General features: G+C 38.9%; 1 protein-coding gene across 24 annotated transcripts in view; it reads left to right on the top strand.

Moving 5' to 3' along the window:
* The window catches only part of TENM3 (teneurin transmembrane protein 3), a 1355412-nt gene that overhangs the window by 896956 nt on the left and 439455 nt on the right, over positions 1-19001 (top strand). For 18 of the 24 annotated variants that reach the window (XM_017008385.2, XM_017008389.2, XM_017008390.2 and 15 more), the window contains one exon: positions 2083-2361. The exons of the other annotated variants lie outside the window; for them this stretch is intronic. In XM_017008385.2, coding sequence (XP_016863874.1) covers positions 2083-2361 — 279 coding nt within the window. The remainder of the gene's footprint in view (positions 1-2082; positions 2362-19001) is intronic. 24 annotated transcript variants of the gene reach the window in all.

Raw genomic sequence — 19001 nt, forward strand, 5'->3', positions numbered from 1 at the left:
TGAAAAGCCAATCACTTGGAAATTGTTTCAAGCCACATTGTAGAGATTAGAAAGAGAGTTGTTACTGGCCTTTTATTTCTCTTTTCATTTCTGAATGTGGGCACCTCTCAAAATAGAGGCAAAAAACAAAGGATCTTATTTATTTTTCCCTCTTTAAAAATTATTTTGCATCCTTATTTTGAAAAATCAGCATGTTTGATGGCAATATCTACACGTTTTAGAGTCCTCCCGTATGTTACAAGTGACATATAAATAGCAGTGGGTAAGCTCTTCCACAGCAATTCCATTAACTGTTCATGTGGACACTGACCTTGTTCAGATTTACTTTTATAAGTACAATCTGCAGTAATGATTTTAACATGCTAACAATACTGAGTCTCATCTCAGTGAGCTTGCCTGCCTTCTCACTGTTCAACGCACAGGCGCTTTTTCCTTTTTTTCTCTTCTTTTACTCTTCTTTTGACATACTTTTTGGTTCAGATACGTGTTCACATCTCTCTGATAAGCACACTTTGATTTGCAGCTAATTGTAGCAACTGATTTTCATTATTTATGAGTGTCATTGTCGGAATCCATTTGGAAGTCTGACCGAGATAAAGCTGATTCCAACTTCTGATATGACCACAGCAATAAAGCAATTAACCACACTAGTTAAAATGTGTGGCAGCCTGGAGGGTGCTAATATCTTTACAACCCAATATTTACTACATTGTCCATTAGGTTTGATTTATTTCCGAGAAGATTCAACATGGTATCATTTTATCACAAATAATTTATAATACCCTCTTTCAAAAAATATAATGTATGTTTCTCATATCAACCTATTAGCATTAAAATGTTCACAGATTTAAGAGGTAGAAGTAGGGAAATCAAAACTATGAGTAATATAAATGCTTAATATACTTAAAAGGTTTGGTTATGAGATAGCAGCATTTAAATCAGTCTTTGTAGGTTACTATTCTTTACCTATATTTTGATTCTGATTGGCACCTAAATCTCACACTCTACCATGTCAACCAGAGACAAGAAATAGAAAAGCTTTATGTATGCATGACAAGCAAACATTTTTCTCACTCTTCTCATCCATAGTAGTATAAAACGTGAAATTTCCAGAATAAATACAGGATTGGAAAAGTCATTAATAACAGCAGTCATTTTAAAGTGTCACCTAATTTAAACACTTTTGCTTTAAGTTATTGCAGTGTCATGAGTTTTATTATGCTCAATTTATTAGTAAAGGCCTGCAGAGTTCACAGCCATTTATTTTTCAGGGAACTTGATTTTATCATTAATTTTTAAATACGTAATACTCCCACTTTATTTTTAGAGTGCACTTTATTTGCAAAGATTGGTTTACTCTGATCAATACAGATGTTTTCAGGTGTGTAGTAAAGCAAAAAGCCTAGAAAGTCAAAAATGTACAAAATATGCAGCAAATTTTTTAGACGTTATACTCCAACATTTAATGTGTATATACACCCACCCCACACACACACATATATACATACATACATACATACATACATACATACATACATACAAAATACTACGTGTTATGTTGATTGCTAAGTCAAGGCGGAAAAATATAAGAAGAATGACCAAGCTCCTGTTTCTACTGTTTGAGTAACTTATTCTTGAAGGGAAACTTTTCTCTTCCAAAGGAGTGACATCTGGGTGGGAAAATTTTATTGTTGGGGACTCGAGCCAGGACACAGAAAATAATTCTGACAATTTCCATTGCCTCACAAGTCTGCTAAACAAAATTCTATCATTGCACTAATCCTTTCTCTGGGTTGAGTTCTCATGGTTGGGGCCACTTTACTTGCCCATCTCTCTGGAGGTACTTATGGGCTTAAAGAGTTGACAAAGGAGCTCTAAGTTGGGGCCCCGCCCTCCTCCCATAATTGCGCCCACTTGATCCTATGCCGTGTGACGCTACTGTAAACGCCTGGTGCTGATCGCTGAAAAGCCTAAATGTTTGAGTGTTTATTTCTGAAAGACATTCTTAAAAAAAAAAAAAAGAAAAGAAACTAACACTGAACATATACTCACTAGTTGTTATCTTTTTTTCCCCCTAATTAGGACAGAATTTTACCCTAAGGCAGTTAGGAGTTTGTGAACCAGCAACTCGAAGAGGACTGGCATTTTGTGCGGAAATGGGGCTCCCTCACAGAGGTTACTCTATCAGTGCAGGGTCAGATGCTGATACTGAAAATGAAGCAGTGATGTCCCCAGAGCATGCCATGAGACTTTGGGGCAGGGGGGTCAAATCAGGCCGCAGCTCCTGCCTGTCAAGTCGGTCCAACTCAGCCCTCACCCTGACAGATACGGAGCACGAAAACAAGTCCGACAGTGAGAATGGTAAGTTTCCTTTTTGGCTTTATAATGTTGGCATTCAGTGCTTCTGTCTGTTTTGGTTGACTCCGCGGGGGGGGATGTTTTTCTTTCTCTCCTTCCTCTCATCCTTCTTTCTCTCTCTTTCTTGTCCATTTCTTTTTGTTTTAATGTAGTAGAACTCAAGAAATGTCCTTGAATAATGCATTTTTTCCTGGAAAAAAAAATCAATATTTGACATCAGATTGTTAAATTAGGCAAGCAGTCTACAATGTTTTGGCTATAGTTTTGAAAAACAGGTTAATCATCTACAGAAAAAAAAAATAGCTTTGACTTCTCTTGGACCATGTCACCTGTTGTCTTCTGTGGGGTGGCAAAGCACGTGTTGATAAAGTTTACCCCAGAGCCGTCTTGCAATCAAAGATGTCTTTGTAGATTCCTCTTGAAGATATCTCAAAGAAGTTGCAAAATCTTAGAATGGATGAGTGAGCACGCAGAATAGTTTATTAACAGGGCTCTAGTGATTGAAGAACAAATATGATCATGCTTTAAACTTAAGAGTTGATGAGAGCAATTGAAATCTTGGTAAAGAGGGGGAGTGTGGCCTTTAATGTTCTTTGGGGACTGGATTACTAAGCAATTAAATCCACACACAAAAATTGGATTTTAGGATATCCAAATAGCAGCTTTTTGTATATTGTAAGAAAAAAAGTCTTTATAAATTATTGGGACTTTTTTTTTCCTATTGCCAATGCGGGATGATTTTTTAAAAGTTAATTTATATGCAATAATACATTTTAAAGAAAACTTAATTTTTAGTCAGTGCTGCTTCTAGGAAGAATTGGGGCATCAGCAGCAATGCAGCAAACAAAAAATTCTCCTTCCGCTTTTAATATTAACAGTGCACTTGCTATTTCAGTCTAGTTATTAATGCTATGCATATCCTATGCATCAAAAAGCAAAGAGAAAATTAAAATGAAAGAATTGCATGACATTTGAAAAGAAAAATGGTTGTTTTATCAATGATATTTCAATTTTATTATTTATTGGGTGACTTTGTCAGCTTTGCTTTGTAATAGGAAAGCGGATCTATTGTTAGCTTTCAGTTTCAGCTAAGTCACAGTGTGAAGCAGCACCTAAGGCTTATTAGTTATTTTCTTTCTATTCATGAAAAAAGGTCTAATTTAAACCAATGCAATCAATTTCTTATCCTAAGTAGAATATCTTAGTGCATTAAACCAAAGTCAAGATCAAATAATAGCTATATACTCAATATCTTCATTTGGAAGTTTCAGTTCTTGGTGGAGGCTGGCTTTATTCCAATTCAAAAGAAGAAACAAGGACAGTTATTTTGATAAAATGAGCCTCAGAATCAGGATGCCAACATTTCTCTCAGTTAATCCATTCACCTCAGTAAATCCTGTGTTTCTATCCATTTTCATAGTGGATTCAGAAGTCACTAACCTTAAATACGTATGATTTGGAATAAATATTGCTTCCTGTCCAGCTGTACTTCACATAGCACTCCTTGAGCAATGGCAGGTACCATGGTCATATTCAAAGGTAGCACCCAGCATTTAATTTTCTTAAAATACACAATAAAATCTTTGACGTTATAGAAGACTAGAATGCAGCAGGATAATGCGATCAGTTCTGATTATCTGCATCATAGATCATCCACATCCATAGCTATCAAATATGTTTTAACATTGGGTCAGTGTGCACTTTCCAAACAAACCTTCTATGGCATCTCATCCTTTCTCTCTAATAACAAAGGTGTCTTGTTATGGTATCTGTATTGGTAAAATATAAATTAATTTTATGATTTTTAAAATTATACATCTGCTAAAAGGATCTCATGGTGGATCCCCAAACATATGTATTTTTTTTTCTTTTTGGAAAATATAAACTTTGTAACCTTTAGTTAACGACACATAATATCCAAATGTTAGGGAGAAGGGAAGGAAGACTTGTGAGTTTCTCATACCACTGCCCTCACCATTCGCATGGATTAATATTAACTAGAGGAGGAAATTGTTTCCCCAGGAATCTTGTAGACCTTGTTCTTAGAGTGATGTAAAGGCAAGAAAAGTTGCACTCTTTAATTTCTCCAAGTAGTGGCTAGGAAGCAGAATGAAGAGAGACAGGGAGAGTGTCAAGGGCCTTGCCTTGAAATTCAGAACATTTGGCAGCATTTGTTGAGAGTAAATAGGTCAGCCAAGTTAAGAGTATAAAGTGTCAAAAGCAATGTTTGTTGAGCTGGGCAACATGATGACTTAAACTTGTGTTTACTCTTTTTCCGAAGGTTTGGTTGTGGTTGTACTTTTAAACAACGTTTTGATGGTCTAAGAATTCCAAATGAGAGCAGTTTAAAGAAAGAAACAAAAGAGGAAATAAAATAGATACGTTGTCTTAATGAATACTGGCTATTGCATATATTTCAAACATATGTCCATAGGAACTTTTCAGATTAATTTATTTGTTCTGAAATTTCAGCGATTACTTAGAAGGAACAAGATTTCATTTAATGTAATTAATTACATTAAGATATAGGGAAGCATAATTTTCTGAAGTATTTAGCAGACCTTATAATTTTGAATTGTGGAATTAAACAATAGCACTGAGGATTTTTTTCCTGATATTAAAAAATTATGTGTCTTTCCCTTAAGCTGGGTTATAGTAAGAAGTGAAATTTGCAGTCATACATAGGTTCTTCTAACAACTTTATAAATAATCGTCTCAAAACTAATTCACATTTTTACCTATATTACTACTTTTAGTCAAGTAATTCTAATATAAAGTTAACAAAAATAATTCAATTCTACTATCTTCAGGTGTTTTTAATTGCTCTAACTTAAAAAGCTATAGATTTTCTGGTTATATTTTCTTTTGACTCTTCAATTCTTTTCATTTTCTCTTTTATTCATTTTTATACTAGCTTGAGATGTGTTCTTGGAAGTTCTATTGTATCACTAAAGGTTGAAAAGAGAAGGAGATGGATGAAATAACTCACCAAAAGGAAACGAATTTAAGAGCCAGATGCTGATGTGTTTTCATCTGGTTTAACATGAGAGCTTGCCTTGACTGTTTTCTTCATTTGAAATAACTGTGAATGAGGCTGTTTTTCCCAGAAAAAAAAAAATGTTATTCAACATTGTAAAATTATGCAAGCAGAGTGCCTGATGTTCTAGCTACAATTTCAAAGAAGAATTTAGTCACTAAAAGGGATTAGATTCCATTTATTTATTGATAAAGAGGCCAACAGTTCAAGTTAAGAAGGTGCTAGAACTGCTGTGAGGCTAATGAAATTTTGATGGCCCGAGCCTCCCACAAGAGTAAGAGAACATTCGGACCGTGTCACACAGCTCTCTGTTAGCTGAGAGTCAAAACAAGTGATAAGATTTATTCTTTTGCAAAACTAACTTTTCACCAGCCATGGGGAGTTGACATTAAAAAGCATTTTGAGGAAAAAAATATTTTACAGTATATATTGAGTTTCCTGTGTAATCCCAAATATTAATCTTGTTCCAAATGAAGGATATGGGAGAAGCCCTTTCTTGGCACCCATTGATTGTTGTGGTGGTGTTTTTGTAGTGGACTGCCACACACCAGGGCAAGTTCTGGAGAGACGGTGATTTGGGATCACCTACTAACAGCAGTTTGAGTAAAAATGGGTGAAAGGTTATAAAATCAGTGTGATGGGATACCCCAGTAAAAGGTAGAATTCTCAGTGTGCTCTGGTTTATTGTAGGCATCTCTCCTGTCTCCAATGTGGTTTTTGTTTTGTTTTGTTTTGTTTTTTGAGACAGTCTTGCTCTGTCGCCCAGGCTGGAGTGCAGTGGCGTAATCTCAGCTCACTGCAACCTCTGCCTCCTGGGTTCAAGCCATTCTCCTGCCTCAGCCTCCTGAGTAGCTGGGATTACAGGTGCACAACACCACGCCCAGCTAATTTTTGTATTTTTAGTAGAGACGGGGTTTCACCATGTTGGCCAGGATGGTCTCAATCTCTTGACCTCGTGATCTGCCCGCCTCTGCCTCCCAAAGTGCTGGGATTACAGGCATGAGCCACCGCGCCCGGCCACTGACGTGTTGTTAAAAGAGCCGTGACTGAAGTCCCACCACCCAGCTTTGCAAGTGCTATAATCTGACCTCAGTTCCAAATACCTATTTAAACGTCAGGAACAAAGGGCTTTTTTTTATTTTTTCAAAACATCAGTCTTTAAGCTTTAAAAATGTTTCCATGGAGAGTAACTCAGTGTCAAGAGATGTGCAGAAAATCCAAAGAAGGGTAAGGTTGCCCCTGGTATCAAGGAAATAAGAACCAGAAGTCATCAGGACAGTGAAGATATTTAGCAAAGAAATGTAAGTGGGAAAACATGTAATAAAGTTAGTTTTGTGATTTAATAAATAAATAAAATGTTTGCGTATGCATCGCTTCCCAGAAGCAGCCAGGCATCTATTGTTTTTTGTCATCCAGCCGGTGCGACGTTGTCACAGGTGCCTGGATTTGGAATCACACTGGTCAGGGCTCACATTCTTTCATTCATCCCCTGTGACAGTTACCCCCTGAATCACCTAGAGTGGCAGTTGTCAACTCTTGCATGCCTTGTCTGCTCCTTCAGCTGCCTGCCGAGTTCTGGAGGGGCGGAGCTCTCCTGTTGGAGTCTAGTTCCTTCTTCCAGCCTCCTCAGCCTGTTAGCCCTCTTGGAGAAAGATGACCTTTGATGTAAGGCAGGCCAGCAGGCGTTGGCGCTGCTCTTCCACCTCCTCGTGACTCAGGACCCCGAGAGCCTCCATTGAGGACAGTCTTTGCGAATGTGATGCCCGGAGGCGGGACTCCTGGTTTTGTATGGGCACTACCACCTCCCGACTTTGAGACCTTGGGCAAGTTGCTCACCATTCCGTGCCATGGTTTCCACGTTGTAAAACAGGGACAGCAGTAAACAGGGCTCTAGTCCTATGAGGTCAGGGCTGTTGTGAGCATTAAGTGAGTTCAGGTATGCCTGGTGCTTACAAAACTCCCTGACATCTAGTGAGTTCCGAATAAGTGTGTGCCCTTATTATTATTTGTAAAAGGTGGAAAATTATATCTGTTTATGTGGCTATGAAGATTAAGTTAAATAAACAATATCAAGTGCCTACCTAGTTTGGACTAGGTAGATATCTATAGATATCAATAGATATCTCCTCCTCCCCTCCCCCACTCCTCCTTCCTTACCCCACCCCACCCCAGGGCTGCATTCATCAAGTGTTCTGGCAAGATGGAGGAGAACTCACGGTGTCTTCCAGAAAGGGCGCTGATCATTTGTGCAGTCTGGAATTTCTGTCACCATTTATTGACTCTCTTATTTTTCTCCAAAACCCCACATCCCTTTTAATTTACTGTAATTAAATGAATGTACATTGAATGGTGCTGATAATTAGTCTGATGGTTGTAGACTTCAAAGATTTTAGCATGCTCCTTCCCCTCCTGGCCAAAGAAAATTTCAAAATTAGTGTTTCCCTCAAAGGCATGTTACTTAGACAGCTGGTCAATTAACAGGCAATTTAACTGATGCTCATCAGTTCACACAATAAAATAAATCATTCCAAGAAGACTTCATTTCTCACCTAAGTTTGAGCAATGTACCTGTTGTCGGACCCCACTAATGCCACATTAATTGTGCATGATACTGAAGTATTATGGGCTAATTTGGCTAATGAAAAAGGGTATAACATTAAAGTGCAGTCTTTTTAAATGTAATAGACACTTTGCACAGCTGAAACACTTTTCAAGGAACCAATTTCACTTGTCCTTTGAAATGGTATTTTAAGTCTACTTTCTGTATGGAGAGATAAAGTCTAAAAGTTGCATTATTGTATTTTAAGAGGAAAAAGGCGTACCCCTCAAACCAATTTGATAAATGACTGTAGTGATAGCATTTCCATCAATCTCTAAAGAGAGAACTTCAGCTATTTTGCAATCCAGATTTTCTTGTCAAGCAGAATATGTTATCTGGAAAGGAGGGCAGTGCCATTTCTTCTCTTCCTGAACAACTGCAGATAGGTGAGAGAGTGAGGAAATAGACGGACTTGTAGCTCTTCCAGTGCTGATCAAATTCTAGGAGAGTTTGAGAGAAACTGCTAGCCAGCTATGTCATGTACTTGCGATCATTCTAGGACAACACAAATGCCACATCTCTCCTAGATCTTTGGAGGAAGGGGTACTGTCTTAGAATTCTGAAGATGATTTGAAGAGAGGTGTACTTTTTCACCTCACTAGCATTATTCCATTCCTTCAGCTTTATCCAGGAACCTTTTCTGAGCCTACTTTGGTTGTTGATTGAAAGACATAAAATGGAATTCTGTTGCTGTAAGAAACACATGGCATTTCAGTGTTATTCTAATTTTATGAGTTTCTATTATACATACTAAACTATAGCTTGAATATAAATTTCACTGTGGGCCCTCTTCCGGCATGTAATGGTCATTTCTGGCATGGTCTCCTGTGATAAATTATATTTTATGTTTTATGTGCACTAGAATGTCAAAAATAGCAAACGTAATATGTCGGTGGGCTTCCTAAATCAGGCTCAGAATTAAAGTGCTGCTTTACAAAATGCCGTCAAATAGTTCCTGATATATAAAAATAACTACATTGCCTTGATAGATATACATTTACAATTTCAATAGTGACTTGTCATTCTTTGAGCAAAAGCTTCCCTGTTTCATTTAAGGATGAAATAGATTCACTTCATGGGTATGTACAAGTCACTTTTTAGTATAATAAGTTATGATTTAACTGGCTGGGCGTGGTGGCTCACGCCTGTAATCCCAGCACTTTGGGAGGCCAAGGCGGGTGGATCACAATGTCAGGAGTTTGAGACCAGCCTGGCCAACATGGTGAAACCCCATCTCTACTAAAAATACAAAAATTAGCTGGGCATGGTGGCAGATGCCTGTAATCCCAGCTACTCGGGAGGCTGATGCAGAGAATGGCTTGAACCCAGGAGGTGGAGGTTGCAGTGAGCCGAGATCGTGCCACTGCACTCCAGCCTGGGCAACAACAGGGATACTCCAGCTGGAAAAAAAAAAAAAAAGTTACGATTTAAATAAAATCCTAAAAAATTTAGTATTATGAAACTAGAACTGAAACAACTGTAAAGTTCACTACTGTTGTTGTTACTACAGGCTTAAGTATTTATATACATTCATATTTTTCTGTTCTAAGAGGATTTTCAGAAAGCTTGGCAGTTTGCTATGCTTCACATGGAAATTGCCATTTCTATTAAGCTCGATTTGTGTTCTAAGTGTTTTTGTTAAAGTATACAGAATATATGCCATCTCTGTTTCAATTCTAAATGTTCTTTTAGTTGTAGAGTTGAAATTAAAGTGAAGCATGCTATGAATGTACCAAAACTGATGATGTATGCTATTTTGATTTTTGAATGTGTTTTTGATATCCTTGAAAAATCACAGTGGTAGCAGTAAAATTGTTTTAATTAATGAATTGAATAGCAGTGAGTGCTGAATCAGGTTTATTGATGTAATTATCACTGAAATAGAAAAAATAAGTGTTAGAGCCATAGAACCTTCGTTTATTTGCCATTCCGTGAGCACTCAAGTGTCGGAAAAGCAGCTAACTGAGGGTTTTTTTGGTGTTGTTTAAAGAATATTCTTCTCAAATCATAATAATTCTGTTTATTAACATTACATACACATATAATTTTATACATGATTATCTTGTACATTATTTACTGAATGGTTTGAATACTAACTTCAGTATATTGAAATTTTCTTATATTTATCAGTTGACGAGATCGTTTTCCATAATAAATAGGCTGTACGCAAACTAAACGTGAAACCTATTTGAATGCATGTTAAAATGGATAGAAATGCGTATACACTTAAGAAAAGAGCAACTAAAAATGTCTGATGACTATTGCCTTGACTTTAGTCACGCAGAACCTGAAAACTAAATAAAGGGTAACTTATTGAATAGATTTCTTATTTAGTATATCAACTAAGTCTTCATTCAACGAATCATAAATGCTGGATATGGTACCAGGTGCTGGAAAAACAAAAATGAGTAAGATGTATTCCCTGACGTCTAGAAGCTCACAGGGTGGTTGGGCAAACCGGCAAGTAGGCGTGTAATTAGGTTTTAATGTGGTTAGTGTTATTACAACAGAATATGCAGAGTCAGTGTCAGCCCAGAGCCGATTGTTGCCAACAGAGACTGGGGGCAGGAGAGGAGAGAATGTTTCACAAAGAAGGAAGGAAGCAGCGTTGGACCAGAGGCTTAAAGGATGTGGAGAAATTCGAGATTTAGACAGAACAGCAAAGGAGAATGTGTAACTTCCCTGGGGATGCTCCAAAAGCCACAAGGAGTTTGATGCCTGGGACACATGAGGCTACAAAAGTAGCCCCCGAGCAAAGTCTTCATGGTGATGCTAAGGGATTTGCACGTTTTCCTGCAGGTAATGGGGAGGCTCTGAGGGATTTTAATGCAGAGGAATAGTATGGTCATGTTTCCGTTTTACAGAGTACCCTGAAAGCAGTGTGGAATATTAACTGTCTTTCCTCAAGGAGAGCAACCTCCCTGGGGACATGGCCCTGTTCACTGTTGTACCTCTGTGCTCACCTCACCTAATACCTGAACCTGGAAATAAAGGTTTTGTTGAATGGAAAATAATTGACTTAGAGGTCAAACTTGGAAGCAAATTGGCCAGTTAGATAGTATTATAATTATCAACATAGGAAAATAGAAAAGTTTGGATCAAAAACCAGAAAGGAAAGGGAGACCCATTTAAGTAGAATCAAGATTTGATGATTAATTGGGGGAAGAGAAACATTTAAAGAGACTGTCTTCCCCAACATGAGAGACTCAGTGAGTGATGGTATAATCCAAGTTGAAAGTTAAAGTATTTTGTCTATGGTAAAGTTAGTAATTCACATGAGAAGACATAGTGTTTGATGTGTCTGTGGGCCATCAAGTTTCAGTAATTTATTAGCCAATTATATATATATTATATATATATATATGAAATTCAATTAGATTTTGTGTAAAAATATTTACTCTGTGATCTATATTATTGCAGTTAAAGCCACAGGGCAGAATTAAACCTCTTTCTGAAAGCAAATAGAATGAGAAAAGAAGAGGAGTGAAGCTAGAATCCTAAGCTCACCAATATTTAACATAAGGTTATAGATGAAGCACCAATAAAAGAAACGAAGGACCTTTTATAGAGGCAAAAAAAACCCAAAAGATTAATTGACAAAAGACAACAAAAGAGACATACTGTGATCAGCAGAGTCAAAAACTTCCAAAAGTTGCTGGGTACAGCAATACCCGTGTCTGTAGTCCCGGCACTCAGAAAGGAGGCTGAGGTGAGAGGATGGCTTGAGCCCAGAAGTTAGAGACCAGCCTGGGAAACATAGTGAGACCCCATCTCAGAGAAAAAGCTTCCAGTGAGGATAATGTAGGTATAGTGGGTGTGGAAGTCAAATCGTGGTAGTTCAGAGTGGAACCAAAACCTTAAATGTGGCACCAGCAACTGGAGATTATTCTCTCCAAAGCTCAACTAAGGAAGGAGAGAGCGTGGCTGAGGGATCCAGGGATGGAGGTACTTGCATAATTGGAGGACATTTCAGCATCTTCTTAAGGAAAGGGACGGAGCGGCAGAACAACAAGAAGGTGGAGTAGAGGCGATTGAGGGAAAATGAAAAGCGTCTGACCTCTGAGAATCAGGAGTGAAGGGGTCCTTGGAGTATGAATGTGGGTAACTGCGAGTCCCTGAAAACTTTTTTTTTAAATATATTTTTAAAATTATTATTTTTTTATTATTATTATACTTTAAGTTTTAGGGTACATGTGCACAATGTGCAGGTTAGCTACATATGTATACATGTGCCATGCTGGTGTGCTGCACCCACTAACTCGTCATCTAGCATTAGGTATATCTCCCAATGCTCTCCCTCCTCCCTCCCCCCACCCCACAACAGTCCCCAGAGTGTGATGTTCCCCTTCCTGTGTCCATGTGTTCTCATTGTTCAATTCTCACCTATGAGTGAGAATATGCGGTGTTTGGTTTTTTGTTCTTGCAATAGTTTACTGAGAATAATGATTTCCAATTTCATCCATGTCCCTACAAAGCACATGAACTCATCATTTTTTATGACTGCATAGTATTCCATGGTGTATATGTGCCATATTTTCTTAATCCAGTCTATCGTTGTTGGACATTTGGGTTGGTTCCAAGTCTTTGCTATTGTGAACAGTGCCTCAATAAACATACGTGTGCATGTGTCTTTATAGCAGCATGATTTATAGTCCTTTGGGTATATACCCAGTAATGGGATGGCTGGGTCAAATGGTATTTCTAGTTCTAGATCCCTGAGGAATCGCCACACTGACTTCCACAATGGTTGAACTAGTTTACAGTCCCACCAACAATGTAAAAGTGTTCCTATTTCTCCACATCCTCTCCAGCACCTGTTGTTTCCTGACTTTTTAATGATTGCCATTCTAACTGGTGTGAGATGACATCTCACTGTGGTTTTGATTTGCATTTCTCTGATGGCCAGTGATGGTGGCATTTTTTCATGTGTTTTTTGGCTGCATAAATGTCTTCTTTTGAGAAGTGTCTGTTCATGTCCTTCGCCCACTTTTTGATGGGGTTGTTTGTTTTTTTCTTGTGAATTTGTTTGAGTTCATTGTAGATTCTGGATATTAGCCCTTTGTCAGATGAGTAGGTTGCGAAACTTTTCTCCCATTTTGTGGGTTGCCTGTTCACTCTGATGGTAGTTTCTTTTGCTGTGCAGAAGCTCTTTAGTTTAATTAGATCCCATTTGTCAATTTTGGCTTTTGTTGCCATTGCTTTTGGTGTTTTAGACATGAAGTCCTTGCCCATGCCTATGTCCTGAATGGTAATGCCTAGGTTTTCTTCTAGGGTTTTTATGGTTTTAAGTCTAACATTTAAGTCTTTAATCCATCTTGAATTGATTTTTGTATAAGGTGTAAGGAAGGGATCCAGTTTCAGCTTTCTACATATGGCTAGCCAGTTTTCCCAGCACCATTTATTAAATAGGGAATCCTTTCCCCATTGCTCGTTTTTCTCAGGTTTGTCAAAGATCAGATAGTTGTAGATATGCGGCGTTATTTCTGAGGGCTCTGTTCTGTTCCATTGATCTATATCTCTGTTTTGGTACCAGTACCATGCTGTTTTGGTTACTGTAGGCTTGTAGTAGAGTTTGAAGTCAGGTAGCGTGATGCCTCCAGCTTTGTTCTTTTGGCTTAGGATTGACTTGGCGATGCGGGCTCTTTTTTGGTTCCATATGAACTTTAAAGTAGTTTTTTCCAATTCTGTGAAGAAAGTCATTGGTAGCTTGATGGGGATGGCATTGAATCGATAAATTACCTTGGGCAGTATGGCCATTTTCACGATATTGATTCTTCCTACCCATGAGCATGGAATGTTCTTCCATTTGTTTGTATCCTCTTTTATTTCATTGAGCAGTGGTTTGTAGTTCTCCTTGAAGAGGTCCTTCACATCCCTTGTAAGGTGGATTCCTAGGTATTTTATTCTCTTTGAAACAATTGTGAATGGGAGTTCCCTCATGATTTGGCTCTCTGTTTGTCTGTTATCGGTGTATAAGAATGCTTGTGATTTTTGTAGATTGATTTTGTATCCTGAGACTTTGCTGAGGTTGCTTATCAGCTTAAGGAGATTTTGGGCTGAGACAATGGGGTTTTCTAGATATACAATCATGTCGTCTGCAAACAGGGACAATTTGACTTCCTCTTTTCCTAATTGAATACCCTTTATTTCCTTCTCCTGCCTAATTGCCCTGGCCAGAACTTCCAACACTATGTTGAATAGGAGTGGTGAGAGAGGGCATCCCTGTCTTGTGCCAGTTTTCAAAGGGAATGCTTCCAGTTTTTGCCCATTCAGTATGATATTGGCTGTGGGTTTGTCATAGATAGCTCTTATTATTTTGAGATACGTCCCATCAATACCTAATTTATTAAGAGTTTTTAGCGTGAAGGGTTGTTGAATTTTGTCAAAGGCCTTTCCTGCATCTATTGAGATAATCATGTGGTTTTTGTCTTTGGTTCTGTTTATATGCTGGATTACATTTATTGATTTGCATATATTGAACCAGCCTTGCACCCCAGGGATGAAGCCCACTTGATCATGGTGGATAAGCTTTTTGATGTGCTGCTGGATTCGGTTTGCCGGTATTTTATTGAGGATTTTTGCATCAATGTTCATCAAGGATATTGGTCTAAACTTCTCTTTTTTGGTTGTGTCTCTGCCCGGCTTTGGTATCGGGATGATGCTGGCCTCATAAAATGAGTTAGGGAGGATTCTCTCTTTTTCTATTGATTCGAATAGTTTCAGAAGGAATGGTACCAGTTCCTCCTTGCACCTCTGGGAGAATTCGGCTGTGAATCCATCTGGTCCTGGACTCTTTTTGGTTGGTAAGCTATTGATTATTGCCACAATTTCAGCTCCTGTTATTGGTCTATTCAGAGATTCAACTTCTTCCTGGTTTAGTCTAGGGAGAGTGTATGTGTCGAGGAATTTATCCATTTTTTCTAGATTTTCTAGTTTATTTGCGTAGAGGTGTTTGTAGTATTCTCTGATGGTAGTTTGTATTTCTGTGGGATCGGTGGTGATATCCCCTTTATCATTTTTTATTGCATCTATTTGATTCTTCTCTCTTTTTTTCTTTATTAGTCTTGCTAGCAGTCTATCAATTTTGTTGATTGTTTCAAAAAACCAGCTCCTGGATTCATTAATTTTTTGAAGGGTTTTTTGTGTCTCTGTTTCCTTCAGTTCTGCTCTGATTTTAGTTATTTCTTGCCTTCTGCTAGCTTTTGAATGTGTTTGGCTCTTACTTTTCTAGTTCTTTTAATTGTGATGTTAGGGTGTCGATTTTGGATCTTTCCTGCTTTCTCTTGTGGGCATTTAGTGCTATAAATTTCCCTCTACACACTGCTTTGAATGCGTCCCAGAGATTCTGGTATGTTGTGTCTTTGTTCTCGTTGGTTTCAAAGAACATCTTTATTTCTGCCTTCATTTCGTTATGTACCCAATAGTCATTCAGGAGCAAGTTGTTCAGTTTCCATGGAGTTGAGCGGTTTTGAGTGAGTTTCTTAATCCTGAGTTCTAGTTTGATTGCACTGTGGTCTGAGAGATAGTTTGTTATAATTTGTGTTCTTTTACATTTGCTGAGGAGAGCTTTACTTCCAACTATGTGGTCAATTTTGGAATAGGTGTGGTGTGGTGCTGAAAAAAATGTATATTCTGTTGATTTGGGGTGGAGAGTTCTGTAGATGTCTATTAGGTCCGCTTGGTGCAGAGCTGAGTTCAATTCCTGGGTATCCTTGTTGACTTTCTGTCTCGTTGATCTGTCTAATGTTGACAGTGGGGTGTTAAAGTCTCCCATTATTAATGTGTGGGAGTCTAAGTCTCTTTGTAGGTCACTCAGGACTTGCTTTATGAATCTGGGTGCTCCTGTGTTGGGTGCATATATATTTAGGAGAGTTAGCTCTTCTTGTTGAATTGATCCCTTTACCATTATGTAATGGCCTTCTTTGTCTCTTTTGATCTTTGTTGGTTTAAAGTCTGTTTTATCAGAGACTAGGATTGCAACCCCTGCCTTTTTTTCTTTTCCATTTGCTTGGTAGGTCTTCCTCCATCCTTTTATTTTGAGGCTATGTGTGTCTCTGCATGTGAGATGGGTTTCCTGAATACAACACACTGATGGGTCTTGACTCTTTATCCAATTTGCCAGTCTGTGTCTTTTAATTGGAGCATTTAGTCCATTTACATTTAAAGTTAATATTGTTATGTGTGAATTTGAACCTGTCATTATGATGTTAGCTGGTTATTTTGCTCGTTAGTTGATGCAGTTTCATCCTAGTCTCGATGGCCTTTACATTTTGGCATGATTTTGCAGTGGCTGGTACTAGTTGTTCCTTTCCATGTGTAGTGCTTCCTTCAGGAGCTCTTTTAGGGCAGGCCTGGTGGTGACAAAATCTCTTAGCATTTGCTTGTCTGTAAAGTATTCTATTTCTCCTTCACTTATGAAGCTTAGTTTGGCTGGATATGAAATTCTGGGTTGAAAATTCTTTTCTTTAAGAATGTTTAATATTGGCTCCCATTCTCTTCTGGCTTGTAGAGTTTCTGCCGAGAGATCCGCTGTTAGTCTGATGGGCTTCCCTTTGTGGGTAACCCGACCTTTCTCTCTGGCTGCCCTTAACATTTTTTCCTTCATTTCAACTTTGGTGAATCTGACAATTATGTGTCTTGGAGTTGCTCTTCTCGAGGAGTATCTTTGTGGCGTTCTCTGTATTTCCTGAATCTGAATGTTCCTGCCTTGCTAGATTGGGGAAGTTCTCCTGGATAATGTCCTGCAGAGTGTTTTCCAACTTGGTTCCATTCTCCCCGTCACTTTCAGGTACACCAATCAGATGTAGATTTGGTCTTTTCACATAGTCCCATATTTCTTGGAGGCTTTGTTCGTTTCTCTTTATTCTTTTTTCTCTAAACTTCCCTTCTTGCTTCATTTCATTCATTTCATCTTCTATCCCTGATACCCTTTCTTCCAGTTGATCGCATCGGCTCCTGAGGCTTCTGCATTCTTCACGTAGTTCTCGAGCCTTGGCTTTCAGCTCCATCAGCTCCTTTAAGCACTTCTCTGTATTGGTTATTCTAGTTATACATTCGTCTAAATTTTTTTCAAAGTTTTTAACTTCTTTACCTTTGGTTTGAATTTCCTCCTGTAGCTCGTAGTTTGATCGTCTGAAGCCTTCTTCTCTCAACTCGTCAAAGTCATTCTCCGTCCAGCTTTGTTCCATTGCTGGTGAGGAACTGCGTTCCTTTGGAGGAGGAGAGGTGCTCTGCTTTTTAGAGTTTCCAGTTTTTCTGCTCTGTTTTTTCCCCGTCTTTGTGGTTTTATCTACTTTTGGTCTTTGATGATGGTGATGTACAGATGGGTTTTTGGTGTGGATGTCCTTTCTGTTTGATAGCTTTCCTTCTGACAGACAGGACCCTCAGCTGCAGGTCTGTTGGAGTTTGCTAGAGGTCCACTCCAGACCCTGTTTGCCTGGGTATCAGCAGCGGTGTCTGCAGAACAGTGGTTTTTCGTGAACCGCGAAAGCTGCTGTCTGATAGTTCCTCTGGAAGTTTTGTCTCAGAGGAGTACCCGGCCGTTTGAGGTGTTAGTCTGCCCCTACTGGGGGGTGCCTCCCAGTTAGGCTGCTCGGGGGTCAGGGGTCAGGGACCCACTTGAGGAGGCAGTCTGCCCGTTCTCAGATCTCCAGCTGCATGCTGGGAGAACCACTGCTCTCTTCAAAGCTGTCAGACAGGGACATTTAAGTCTGCAGAGGTTACTGCTGTCTTTTTGTTTGTCTGTGCCCTGCACCCAGAGGTGGAGCCTACAGAGGCAGGCAGGCCTCCTTGAGCTGTGGTGGGCTCTACCCAGTTGGAGAGCTTCCCGGCTGCTTTGTTTACCTAAGCAAGCCTGGGCAATGGTGGTCGCCCCTCCCCCAGCCTCACTGCCACCTTGCAGTTTGATCTCAGACTGCTGTGCTAGCAATCAGCGAGACTCCATGGGTGTAGGACCCTCCGAGCCATGTGCGGGATATAATCTCCTGGTGCGCCGTTTTTTTAAGCCCGTCGGAAAAGCTCAGTACTCGGGTGGGAGTGACCCGATTTTCCAGGTGCCGTCTGTCACCCCTTTCTTTGCCTAGGAAAGGGAACTCCATGACCCCTTGCACTTCCCGAGTGAGGCAATGCCTCGCCCTGCTTCGGCTCGCACACGGTGCACGCACCCACTGACCTGCGCCCACTGTCTGGCACTCCCTAGTGAGATGAACCTGGTACCTCAGATGGAAATGCAGAAATCACCCGTCTTCTGCATCGCTTACGCTGGGAGCTGTAGACCGGAGCTGTTCCTATTCGGCCATCTTGGCTCCTCCCTGAAAAACTTTTATTTTTTAAGGTACTTTTCATCTCACAACTTTATATACATAATTAATTTGGTGTTTGCTATAGAAAAGTTTTTCTGAAAAAGATACCTTTCTGTCTAAGATTGATTGAAATCATAACCAATTTTAAGTCAGTGTAGTATAAATTGATAATATTTGATGGAACTGAGCGACCATGTCATCAGAAGCTTTGGAGGAGCAGTACATTCTTATCCAAAATTGACATTTTACTTAAAATCCTTCTATAAAACTGTGAAACTGGAATTACACATCCAGATTCTAATGGAAAACAGTTATTAGCTTTGGAGCCAGAACTATAGGATTGCTGTCAGGACTAGTCCAGGGACATAGGTAACTTCTGATTTCCTCTCCTTGATCCTTGATGTGAGTATGTGATATTTATATATATTCATATAGATGTGTGTGTATATATATATGAGTGTGTGTACATATTCATATATGTGTGTATGTATGTGTATATATTGATATATGTGTGTATATATATGAATATGTATATGTATATATTCATATATGTACATATATACATATATATGCATGTTTATAGTCTTTGCCTGAGGACTAAGTTAATAGCTAGGAAATAAGTTTCCTCCTTAGTAACTGCCACATAGTTTTGCACTAGCAATGTTCTTTTGCTTAAAAAAAAATGCATGTTTATAAACATAAAATT

The sequence above is a fragment of the Homo sapiens genome, chromosome 4 (assembly GCF_000001405.40).
Source record: "Homo sapiens chromosome 4, GRCh38.p14 Primary Assembly".
NCBI classification, from domain to species: Eukaryota; Metazoa; Chordata; class Mammalia; order Primates; family Hominidae; genus Homo; species Homo sapiens.